This window comes from Homo sapiens, chromosome 2 (assembly GCF_000001405.40).
Source record: "Homo sapiens chromosome 2, GRCh38.p14 Primary Assembly".
NCBI lineage: Eukaryota > Metazoa > Chordata > Mammalia > Primates > Hominidae > Homo > Homo sapiens.
In genome coordinates this window covers 108,481,452-108,494,259 of record NC_000002.12, presented here as the reverse complement: position 1 = coordinate 108,494,259, position 12,808 = coordinate 108,481,452, and the positions used below count along the sequence as shown (strand labels likewise).

Sequence of the window (12,808 nt, the reverse complement as noted above, 5' to 3'; positions counted from 1 at the left end):
TGGGACTTCCAGGTGCATGCTATCCCACCCAGATAATTTTTGTACTTTTAATAGAGATGGGATTTCACCATGTTGTTCAGACTGGTCTCAAACTCCTGGCCTCATGTGATCCACCTGCCTTGGCTCCCAAAGTGCTGAGATTGCAGGGGTGAGACACCACGCCTGGTCTAAACTGTAAAGTTTACCAGGCCCTTTGACATGTATTGGTTTATTGACTCCCAAAAATCTGAAGTTCAGAGAAATTTAATGACTTTGCCCAAGGTCTCATAACTGAGTTAGAAACCAGAATTGTAATCTAGATTTTTAAACTTCAGATTTCATTTATTTTGCATTTCATTAAGTTGCCTTAGTCCTGACTGCCCTTTTTGAAGCTTTTTCCTGGGTTTCTGGTAAGCTGACTGCTTATTCCACTGCTGATTGCTAGATTACAATCTCTTGTGCGACCTTTGCCCTGGCTGATTACTTCCTTTGTTGATTCTTTGGCATATGTTAAATTCTTCTGAAGTTGCTTTTTTACCCTAATAAGTGACCGATAGCGGCTAATGCTCCAGTGACAATATTTCCCATGGGAAACCAAAACACCATCAACTTGCTACTAAAATACTGCATCATCATGGCTGACATTTTTCCATGTCTTCCTGGAAGCAGAATGGAAGATACTGGGTGTGGCTGAACTAAAACTCCAACTAATTGTAAATGTGAAAGCAAAGAAGCTATATTGGTTATGCAGTTCTAACACATTCAGTGCCGCTTGAGTGTTTCTAAGTTCCTTGCTCTATCTAATGTTTCTATTTAAAAAGTAGACAAATTTGATGTCTAACAACGGAGAACATGAAAGAAATCTGGTGAATACTAGAATTAAGACATGTGTCGGCCAGGCGCAGTGGCTCATGCCTGTAATCCCAGCATTTTGGGAGGCCGAGGCGGGTGGATCACGAGGTCAGGAGATCGAGACTATCCTGGCTAACACGGTGAAACTGCGTCTCTACTAAAAATACAAAAAATTAGCCGGCCTGGTGGCAGGCACCTGTAGTCCCAGCTGCTCGGAAGGCTGAGGCAGGAAAATGGCCTGAACTCGGGAGGTGGAGCTTGCAGTGAGCCGAGATCGCGCCACTGCACTCCAGCCTGGGCGACACAGCGAGACTCCGTCTCAAAAAAAAGACATGTCACGAGACTGACAGAGGATGTTTAAGTCAGAGAAAAAGAAATACTCCTTTCCATTGAGGGTAAGGAATACATCAAAGTCAGCATTCTCAGAGGTTATACAGACTTCTGTAAGTATAATGAAGAGGGAAGGATTCAGATGGTTCAATTATCTTTCTAGTAAGCAAATCCAAAATTCATTAATCACAGATTTGACACTGGTGACACCTAGTAAATTTTCTTTCTTATGAATTTGTGAAGAATGTATTTAAGAGACAAATGCATGAAAACATGAACAACTAATATTTCCATGTGTACATACATACTTCTTGTGGTCGGTTCATTCTTAAGCTGGAAGAGCTGTGCTTCCATCTTGGAGAGCTGCTGCTGTAATGTCTCCACTGTCTTTCTGTGTTCTTCCTGCAAATGTCGCACTTGATCTCGGAAGCTATTTCGAAGGACCTCGTTCTGGGATGTTAGCTGACTCACAGTCTGTGTATGTTCAGATTTCATCATCATGTTCTCTGACTGTATTGAACACAATCTGAAAGATGAGAAACTTAGTTACAGAAGATCTTTCAACTTTATATGCTGACTTAGCCTTTCTCAACTGGGTTCTGCAAGAGAATTAGCTCTAAGACCTCTACTGAATGTATGAATCAACTTCTCTCCTACATACCTGCACTGTACTCATTGTGAAATAACTTGATGAGAACTGACACTGGCTGTCATCTAGTTCAAATAATCTGTGTTACACATTTCAGATGAAGAACCCCAGTTAAGAAACTGTGTTGTGTTGTCCAGACTAGGAACTTCTTTCATGGTTCATCAGAAAATAGGATTATATTTAAAGCATAAAATAATTATACTTTTAATTAGTCCACTTCTTCACATCATCATATGTGGTAACTCACATGAATGTAAGATTAATCTCCCTTTTATCTACTACCCTGAAAACATTAAAAAAAAAAAAAACCCCACACTCTTCTGATTTACTCAGAAAACTTTAGAGGAAAGTATCCATTTTTGAGTTGATTAACATAAACCACAACAAACACAGACTTGGTTTACTATAGCTGTTTCAAATCTCACTGCACATGAGAATCACTGGAATACCTTGTTGAAAATAGAGACCTCTAATTTTCATGTTACACCCACTGAATCAGGATCTCAGTAGTGGTTCCAGGAATTTCCTACTTTTAGTAGTTTTCAATGTGATTTTTATGTACTCAGCCTGAAACTAACCAGTGGGCCTACAATTTGGGAACCATCACTTTTAATGGTTTACCTGTAGTTTTCATGTTTTATATGTTTGGCTTTGGTAAAAAAAATAAATAAATAAATAAATAAATTTCCTTTTATACAGGGGATCCACAGAATTCTCTCATAAAAATTTAAAAAATACAAAAGCCGTCAGAGAAAAAAGTAAAAGCCCCTTATTAATTACTCTCATGCCTGGCAGGATAAAATCCCAATTCCACAGGTAGATAAACGTTGTTAACAGTTTAGTCTGTACTTTTCCAAGATATTTTTTCTACCTGCTACACACATGCGCACCATACAAGGTTTCAAACAGGGTTTAGTGGCTGAAAGGAGAAATGCAATAAAATACCATGTTTCAGAAAAGAAATCTTAATTACTAAGTTCATACTGATTAATGAATCTAGAAAATACTAGTGTATACAAATTTCTCTGCAAGCATTTTTTTCAAACAATATCTACCCAGAAAGCAAAGGAAGAACCATCGGAGGTTACAAAAATAGTCTAAGCAGGATAAAAATTAGAGGTGGGTAAAGTGTCTATTCTCAGGCAGTATCACTGACATTTATGAATTTACCAATTTGAAAGCTAAACGCTTAAACCCCCCATCTGGAATCAGAATGATTGTGCTGATGGAAGTTCACTGTTCTGTCTCAGTTGTTACAGAGGTGTTTATATTAACTGTAGTCTCTGCGTAATACAGATATTAATTAGCCTAATTATCACATTCCTCTGGAACCATTTTCACAATCTGCTATAGATAAAGTATGAATATTAAAACATTTTTTAAAAGTGGAGACTACATAAAGAGAAGGCTATTTCTTCATACTTGGGCAGACAGTAACAATACCATTAGTTTTTAATATTTCTGAAGAAGAGGAAAGACTCCTAAAGATACCTCAAAATGCTATGAAAAGTGACTGGCACATAGTAGGTGCTCAAAAAACACTTACTGAAAGACTGAATTACTTTAGAGGAATCAACAGTACTTTATTTGTGTTAGCAATGTAATTTGCAATAACTTTCCAAAAGAATAAGTGTTGGAGAATATCAAGCAAACATCACTATATATAAGATAATCTCATGGTAAACCCTGGTGATAGGCAGTTAGAAAACTGGTACATCTTCCCTGAAACTTTTGGTTTACATGATTAACATGCAAATTACACTGTTAACAGACAGAAGCCACAAAAAGCTAAACCTGCTTTCATTTTTCAGATTAGCATAAGATTAGGTATATATTATATAAGCAAATCTGTGATAAAATTATCAACACCCTTGATAAAAGATGCTCAATGAAGAATTCTTTTCCTCAGCCTAATACTCCTACTACCCAATTTCTTTATCACAGGAGTTGAAAACTTCTTGTTCACAATAATCTATTTATTTTGCCAATACTTCTAATGTCTATTTAAAGTATTACAGTGAACAAAATATGACAAATTGAAGACAGAATTGCAAAGATAACTTGCATATTCTTTTTCAGTTAGCAACTATTTGGGTGTTTTCTTCTAGAAAAAAAAATGCTTATGATTTGATACTTGGGTTGGAAAGTAGTATGTTTTTGTTTGTTTTTTTAGAGAAACATCCTAGCCAAGAAGGCTGTAGGAGACACAGAATACTGGATGAGCAGATAGACATTAATTGTTCTTAAAAATGCAAAATACAAAAGCAATGTAAAAGGCGAAGCTCTAAGGTAGATAAAGCAAAGTTTCCAAGCCTTTAGAAATGTCTATTTTTTATTTTCTAATCTGCATTTATCTCAAGGATCAACATATTAGAAGTTTCAACAAAGAAATACATTGCTGTCTGGTACAGCGTTAGTGCTGCTAACAGTCTTACTTTTCCCGGAGTTCCGCCTCTTTGGACACAGTTTCCTGCAGCATCTTGTTGTGCCTTTCTAGCAGTGTATCATGTTCAGACTGCAATGTTTGAAGTTCAGATACATTAATCTGTAAGTTATTTTGGCTATCTTGTAATTTGATTTTTAGCTGGTCAATCAGCATTTCCAGATGTTCCCTAAAACAGAAATACACAGTTTTAAAATTTTTTGAAAAAGGTGAATTTGATTTTGTGGTTTTAAATATAGTTTAACCATTTAACCTTTCAATGCCATACTCTTGGATGATTCTAAAGGAAATATAATAGAAGAATTCAAGACTAGGATTAAACATAATAAAAAGATATTATAGCCAGATTTAAAATCTTAGGCACTACAGATTTACAAAAAATTTCTCTAAAATTTAGAATTTCATATTCAAAAAGGGGCATCAAAATAGCCTATTTATGTTACAGGACTATGTCAGTTAAAGAAAAAAACCTCACACTATTTTTTTTTTTTTGAGATGGAGTCTGGCTCTGTTGCCCAGGCTGGAGTGCAGTGGCGCAATCTTGGCTCACTGCAGCTTCCGCCTCCCAGGTTCAAGTGATCCTCCTGCCTCAGCCTCCCAAGTAGCTAGGACTACAGGCACCCACCACCACGCTCAGCTAATTTTTTATTTTTAGTAGAGACAGTGTTTCACCATGTTGGTCAGGTTGGTCTTGATCTCCTGACCTCAGGTGATCCGCCAGCCTTGGACTCCCAAAGTGCTGGGATTACAGGTGTGAACCGCCATGCCTGGCGCACTCACACAGTTCTTAAATTGTTGTTATAAGAATGGTATGTCAGACCAAGTTACAGTGAAAGATAATCCCTGAAGAAGAGCAGGTCTTTTTAGACTTGGAAAAAACACTAGGTGGAGATAGTTAAAATCCTGATTCTGCCACAATGAGTACAATACACTATTAGTTTCTTTTTTTAAAAAACGTATTTATATTATAAGAAAGTAGAAGGAACACAAAACATTTACATTCATGTAATGTGAACTCAAAATTTAGGCATGGTCAAAAATGGCTCTTGAAAATGGTGACATTTATATTTTTGAAATGTATCAGTATCTAATTTCCCCTTTATATAATGAGCTACTGGAAAGAAAATACCATGTTTCAATCTACAGTCTCTATATTTAATAGATTCCTAAATGAAAGTAACAGAAACATAAACATACAAAAATTTCAGAATAATTAGTCTTGTTTAGAACAGTAAGAGCCAGATGTAAAACTGCTTTGAATACTGAACTGCTCAACACAGATGCCATGGAATGCCCTCTCTCTCTCTTACTCCCAGTACAAACAGGATCTGTATGCTAGTTTTAAAGCAGCATAAACAATATACCATTCAAATAGAACTGAAATGGTCATAAATAAGAAAAGTTTAATTCTAGACCAAAATTCAGTACTAAATTTAAAATTTTTGAAATAAGTGAAACATTTTAAAGCAACTTCTGTTTAGCTAAATTAATGGCAAATAAGTATGCTTAGCATTTTAATTTTTACTTCTAAATTTTCAAAATTGGAAAAACAAATCATAATGTAATTTTAATGCCTGTATTTCTACCACGACAAGATCTTATTAAGATTGAACTGTTAGCCTATTATCTCATATCCTGGCTTCACTGTGCACTTTAACATCTAATTTTAGAGGTTGCAACAGTGTTCTTTGTAATGAAGTTTCCCTGTTACTGTCTGCAGACACAGTGAAGCCAAGAAATTCTGTTCTCTTTGGTAACAATATACATAATTTCACAGTTAAAAATCATAATAGAATTTTAGGCCGGGTGCTGTGGCTCACGTCTGTAATCCCAGCACTCTGAGAGGCTGAGGCGGGTGGATCATCTGAGGTCAGGAGTTTGAGACCAGCCTGGCCAACATGGTGAAACCCCGTCTCTAATAAAAAATACAAAAATTAGCTGGGTATGATGGTACACGCCTGTAATCCCAGCTACTCAGGAGGTTGAAGCAGGAGAATCCCTTGAACCCGGGAAGCGAAGTGGCAGTGAGCTGAGATTGCACCACTGCACTCCAGCCTGGGCAACAAGAGCGAAAGTCTGTCTCAAAAAAAAAAAAAAAAAAAAAAATCATAATAGGATTTTCAATCTACTTGGTGAAGAACCTGCATTGTGGGAGGAAAACTCTGCATATTTAATTCAGACTTTACCTTTCTTGTTTAGCGCCCTCAGTTTCAGCCTGAGACATAGATTTATTTTTCTGTTGTTTTAGAACATTATGAACTCGGACTTTGTAGCTCTCGAATTCAGAGGTTACAGTAGCTTGTTCTGCCTATAACATTTAAAAGAGAGAAACGTTTTTCTACTGTAACAGGGTCCTTCTATTTTCTTTCAGAGATTAACAAATTGAGATAAAAACCTGTTTTTGAAAATGAGAAAAATGGCTGACATTCTTTTTGGTTTCTTGATTAACCTTGCTAAAAAGCATACTTCTGTTGGCTTTACACTTAAAAAATTTTCTTTTTAATTGATACATAATTGTACATATTTATGGGGTGCATGTGATATTTTGATGGATGCATACAATGTCTAATAAGCAAATCAGGGTAATTAGGATATCCATTGCCTCCAACATTTATCAGGTCTTCATGTTGGGAGGCCTTACACTTTTTAAAGGCCTCTCAATAATACATATTTTCTGATAAGAGATCTGTTTCTACCATGTCTTCTACCCTGGTAGATTAATTTACTAACCATACATTTTATAGTGACACTATGTGCTTTTGGAACTTAATAAACATTTTCTCTTATGATATCCCCTCTTTTTATAAATTTGAGAAAAATTAACTCAGAAATTAAGTTATTTGAACTTCAGTTTTCAAAACAGGGTGGTTAAGTGTTAAGTTCTAGGTCTTCCACTTTCTTGAAGTGATCTGTAAACTCCCACAACAGTGTTGCCAGGATTGCTTAAATAAGACCTGCATCTAACACAACCACTGCACTGTCTCTGTTTTGGATGATGACAAGAAAGTAGGCCCCCACAGCCATGCTATTAAAATGTTATTTTATAATCATTTAGCCCTAAGAACTGTAACACGTTTCTAATAAAAAAAGTTTTATAAATAAGTGACACATAAATTGCAAAACAAGGTTGAAATGGAAAAAACATCATGTTTTTCCTTTTGGCAAAAAAAGTGATCCAACTTACGATTAGGGTTGGCATGGGATTGGGGTTAAAGCCAGATTAACTGAACAGGTCTTAATCTAGTAAGTGCTCTTAACAGGAAAATACTAAAAAGGCAGAGCACAGCCCTGGAGTAAACCAATGACTAGCTGATAATAAAATCCCAGTGGCTTGCTGTGGCTGCCCTGAAGAACGCACCTTGGCAGCACGGCACTCTTCCTGTAGTGCTGTCACTCTCTGCTGGTATGCACTTAGCGTACGCTGGTGCTGTTCCGCAGAGGTTTTCAGGTGCTCGTGGATTTTGTGCTTCTCTGATGTTATTTCAGCCAGCTGTATCTGGGGGTAAATCTTTAAATTTAGCTTTAGCAAATCCTATCTTCACTAGTTAAAGAGGTTTTCCTTAAAATACAAACTTTAGGTTTGAGACATAAGTACATATAAGGCATAATTAAGTAGTGAAATATTTTTATGTATTATTATTGAAAAAGCAGAGACAAGTAGAACATTTTCTAAGTTATCTTTTCTTAAACCAACATCAATTCAAAAAAAAGAAAATCCCAGACTACATATTTAACATACAATGTTTAAATACTTCAAGACATTATATATATAAAAATATACACAAATATAGCAAACATATAAAATCATTTTATAAACTGTTCCTTGTAACTGCAATAGCATTTAGTTCAGATGCAGGCTTATTTTATTTTGCACTATTCTATAGTATATTATGAATTTCCAAATACATGAAAATAATCTAGCTTGAGCCAAATAATATACTCCAGTTATATGCCAGACTTGATTTATTGTTGTAACTTCCTCAAAATGTTGAGGAATCTTTCTAGATATCGTTATAGGATAATCAATAAAATCTCTAAATGGTACCTCACTTCTACATGAAAAAACATTTTTTTAATCTTAAAAAGTAAAACCCTTACTTTATAGACTTCTACTTGCTGCTGGCTTGCCTCCAGCTCACCTTTTAAAGATGCTTGAAGTATTAAGTGATCAGTTTCCTATAGAATGAGAATCTTGGTTAAATTTTTTTTAATGTTACTCATAAATAAATTATGAATAAGTACTAAATATGAAACTGAAAAATTAACATACTGCTTGCTTTGAATCTGCCAGTTCCTTTTTGGTTTTCACAAGCAATTGCTTGATTTTGGTGTTTTTTTCTTCATATTGTTGTACTGAAGACTGTAATGAAGCTAGCACAAGAAATAATTTCAGCAGAAAAAGATGTAACAATTTTTATCAGTGAATTTAAATACACAAATATGTCTTCTTTGTATTGGCTTGTCTTTAAGCCTGTTTTAGCTTTTTATTATGGAATACTTCAAACATATGTGACAGTAGTAACAACAGTGCCATAAACTCTACTGTACCCAACTCCCGGCTGTAACAATTACAACCCATAGACAATCTTAGTTAACCCAGACCAGGAAACAGCAAGGTACTTAAGAAATGTTAAAGTGAATAAATGTGGACTACAAACATCTTTTTTTTTTCTTTTTTTTTTTTAATTATACTTTAAGTTTTAGGGTACGTGTGCACATTGTGCAGGTTAGTTACATATGTATACATGTGCCATGCTGGTGTGCTGCGCCCACTAACTCGTCATCTAGCATTAGGTATATCTCCCAATGCTATCCCTCCCCACTCCCCCCACCCCACCACAGTCCCCAGAGTGTGATATTCCCCTTCCTGTGTCCATGTGATCTCACTGTTCAGTTCCCACCTATGAGTGAGAATATGCAGTGTTTGGTTTTTTGTTCTTGAGATAGTTTACTGAGAATGATGATTTCCAATTTCATCCATGTCCCTACAAAGGACATGAACTCATCATTTTTTATGGCTGCATAGTATTCCATGGTGTATATGTGCCACATTTTCTTAATCCAGTCTATCATTGTTGGACATTTGGGTTGGTTCCAAGTCTTTGCTATTGTGAATAATGCCGCAATAAACATACGTGTGCATGTGTCTTTATAGCAGCATGACTTCAAACTATACTACAAGGCTACAGTAACCAAAACAGCATGGTACTGGTACCAAAACAGAGATATAGATCAATGGAACAGAACAGAGCCCTCAGAAATAACGCCGCATACCTACAACTATCTGATCTTTGACAAACCTGAGAAAAACAAGCAATGGGGAAAGGATTCCCTATTTAATAAATGGTGCTGGGAAAACTGGCTAGCCATATGTAGAAAGCTGAAACTGGATCCCTTCCTTACACCTTATACAAAAATCAATTCAAGATGGATTAAAGATTTAAACGTTAGACCTAAAACCATAAAAACCCTAGAAGAAGACCTAGGCATTACCATTCAGGACATAGGCATGGACTACAAACAACTTAATGGCAAACAGTTTTACACCCATTCTGGGTCCCCAGTAACATTTATCACTGTGTTAAACACCTGACTGACAGTGAAAGACTGGTGAAATAAACAAGTAATGCCCCCCACCAAATCAAGTTGTTATGATGAAATAATTAAAAAGTAAAGTGAATTTTCTTTAACTCACTTATTTCTTCTTGTAGGGTTTCTTGTTTCTGTTTTTGAATTTTTATTTCTTGCTCCAAATCTTCTATCTTGTTGTTTTTATTAGTTAACTTTTGATTTAGTTCTTTCATCAAACGTTCATAATCAGCTATTTCCATATTCATCAATGTGGTTTGTTGGGCATCCTGCACATTTTATAAGTAAAAGATTTACACAATAGTAGATCAGTTCATTTGTAAATTTTTTTTTTCATTTGTAAAATTGCTAAAATGATGCCACAGCAATAAATGGGTGCTTTTCTGTAATACTGAAATTGTTTACACTGTAACAAAGAAATGAGGAGTTGGATATTTTCTACTTTTTAATTTCACAAAATATTTTCTAATAGTTTAACCCAACTTTCTTAGTTTCATTTTATTTCATTATAACTAACTACAACTAGCAGCTGTAGCTTGCGGAGCTCTTATTTATAAAATACTAATATGTCAAGTGGCTCTTATAGTACATTTCTTTTTAGCCTCATCTTTGAAGGAGTAAAGTCAGCCAAAGTTTTAAGTATAATACAAATTTCAAGCTTTGACATTAATTAAATCTTAATGTGTCATACAACAATCATGTATACAAAATGAACTGTCAAACCAAAATCTTGTAACTCAGGAGCCTAGATTCTTCTGAAAGGACTGGTACTTAGAGAAGTAAGTTAAATTTCCAATTTTTTGAGCAAATAATTTATAAAGCATTATTTTAGTACCACAAGTAACATTCTAAAATATTCCTTTTCAACATGTATAGAATAGTTTAACAATGCAGGCTGAGTGCGGTGGCTCACACCTGTAATCCTAGCACTTTGGGAGGCTGAGATGGGCGGATCATTTGAGGTCAGGAGTTCCAGACGAGCCTAACCAAATTGGTGAAACTCCATCTCTACCCAAAATACAAAAAATTAGCCGGGTGTGGTGACGCATGCGTGGAATCTCGGCTACTTGGAAGGCTGAGGCACAAGAACTGCTTGAACTCGGGAGGCGGAGGTTGCAGTGAGCCGAGATCATGCCACTGCACTCCAGCCTGGGCCACAGAGTGAGATTGCAGAGAGAACAGAACAAACAGAACAACAAAACAGAACAATGTGAATATTACATCAATTTTGATCCTAGTGTTTTATTTTACCTTTTTAACCAGCTCTAATTCTTGCATGGTTTTCTGAAGCTGTTTCTTTTGCTTTTGAAGTTGTACCTGAAGTTCTTCAAGTTCATTTACAGTAGTGGCATGTTCCTGAAATTAAAAATAAAAACAACCCACACCACCCAACCAATATTAAAAAGGTATTTTTAAGGGGCTTTAAAATAAATCTGACGGCCGGGCGTGGTGTCTCACACCTGTAATCCCAGCACTTTGGGAGGCCGAGGCGGGTGGATCACAAGGTCAGGAGATTGAGACCATCCTGGCTAACACAGTGAAACCCCGTCTCCACTAAAAATACACACGGAAAATTAGCTGGGCATGGTGGTGAGTGCCTGTAATCCCAGCTACTCGGGAGGCTGAGGCAGGAGAATGGCATGAACCCAGGAGGTGGAGCTTGCAGTGAGCTGAGATTGCGCCACTGCACTCCAGCCTGGGCAACAGAGCGAGACTCCGTCTCAAAAAAATAAAATAAAATAAATCTGACACGCTAAAATACAAAAAGTTTGGTAATATTTCAATGTTTAAAATATATACACCCCAAATCACAGCATGGATTCTCAAATTTATGGTTGGTATTAAGGAATTAATGAACTCTGCTGTATTCATAAATGCTACTCTTAGTAAGTCTTCCCTTCATTTAAATAATATTTTGGTAAATGCATCATATATATGTGAATCAATCTCATAGGATTGTTTTTACCTTTATCTTCTGTTCTTTCTGAAGTTTTTCAGCTTCTAATTCTTTGTCTACCATTGCTTTGGCTCTCTGGACTTCTAAAATCTGTACTTCTAATAATTTGGCATTAGACTGTAATGTCTCAATACGAGCCAGGAGATCTTCATTATCAGAATTTATTGTTTCACACTGAAATGACAAATGATTCATTACTATAAACATGCAAAAAACATATACAGCAGAGGAAGAATGAACAGGTACATTAATGAGAATATTGGCATAGTGTGACAAATGAAGATTTCCAAGTCCATGCTACAGAACGATAATATTAAGAATCAGTTTTAAAATCTGTCATTGAAATACTAATATGGTAAACCTTACAAGAGACCAGGTGCACTGGCAGAGCAAAGAGCAGAAACGAAAAACAAACAAACCCCCAAACAAACAAACAACCCTCTAGGGGAACTGAGATTAGAATAATAAGCAAGATAGTTGCTAGCTGTTTTGTCTTATTCTTCTCTCCTAAGTGGGAAGGAGGGTAAAGTGGGGGGGGAATAAATTCTGTTTCCGACTATATTTTTTAAATTTTTTATGCAAAAAGTATTGAGATTAAAATATACCTGTTATAGTTTTCATTTTTGGATTTATTAAAAAATTACCTGCAAAGTCGAATTTCTTAATTGTCTTGTAAGGTCTTCAATACGATGCTCAAAATTATTAGCACGTTCTTTTTCCACATCCAGTTGCTCTGACTGCTTTTCATATTCTAATAAAAGATTCTTCAATAAAAGAAGGATTTAACTTTGGTATATAATTTTGCATTCAACAGGTCAGACTTCATCATCAAGCCACCTTAAGATTCATGAGTCCATTCTGGATGCTTAAAATATTTACCCAAGTTGAACAGAATACCTAACTGGCATTAGGTAATAAAACTAGCACATTTTGGGTAACTTTTAGTATTGGAGAGTGGGGGAAATATATGAAAGAAGAAGAAAATTTTAAATATAAACAATATAATAGC

At 35.7% G+C, this 12,808-nt stretch overlaps 1 protein-coding gene across 7 annotated transcripts in view; it reads right to left on the bottom strand.

Moving 5' to 3' along the window:
• The window catches only part of GCC2 (GRIP and coiled-coil domain containing 2), a 60,210-nt gene that overhangs the window by 15,156 nt on the left and 32,246 nt on the right, over window positions 1–12,808 (bottom strand). For 4 of the 7 annotated variants that reach the window (XM_006712870.4, XM_006712871.2, NM_181453.4 and 1 more), the window contains 10 exons: window positions 12,444–12,563; window positions 11,809–11,973; window positions 11,094–11,198; window positions 9,949–10,111; window positions 8,524–8,624; window positions 8,352–8,429; window positions 7,612–7,749; window positions 6,440–6,561; window positions 4,246–4,422; window positions 1,470–1,687 (listed from right to left, as the gene is read on the bottom strand). In XM_006712870.4, the coding sequence (XP_006712933.1) occupies window positions 1,470–1,687; window positions 4,246–4,422; window positions 6,440–6,561; window positions 7,612–7,749; window positions 8,352–8,429; window positions 8,524–8,624; window positions 9,949–10,111; window positions 11,094–11,198; window positions 11,809–11,973; window positions 12,444–12,563 (1,387 nt within the window). Of the gene's footprint in view, window positions 1–1,465; window positions 1,688–4,245; window positions 4,423–6,439; window positions 6,562–7,611; window positions 7,750–8,351; window positions 8,430–8,523; window positions 8,625–9,948; window positions 10,112–11,093; window positions 11,199–11,808; window positions 11,974–12,443; window positions 12,564–12,808 lie in introns of those variants that run through there. The other 3 variants (XR_923067.3, XM_047446447.1, XM_047446448.1) reach the window with 3 other exon arrangements.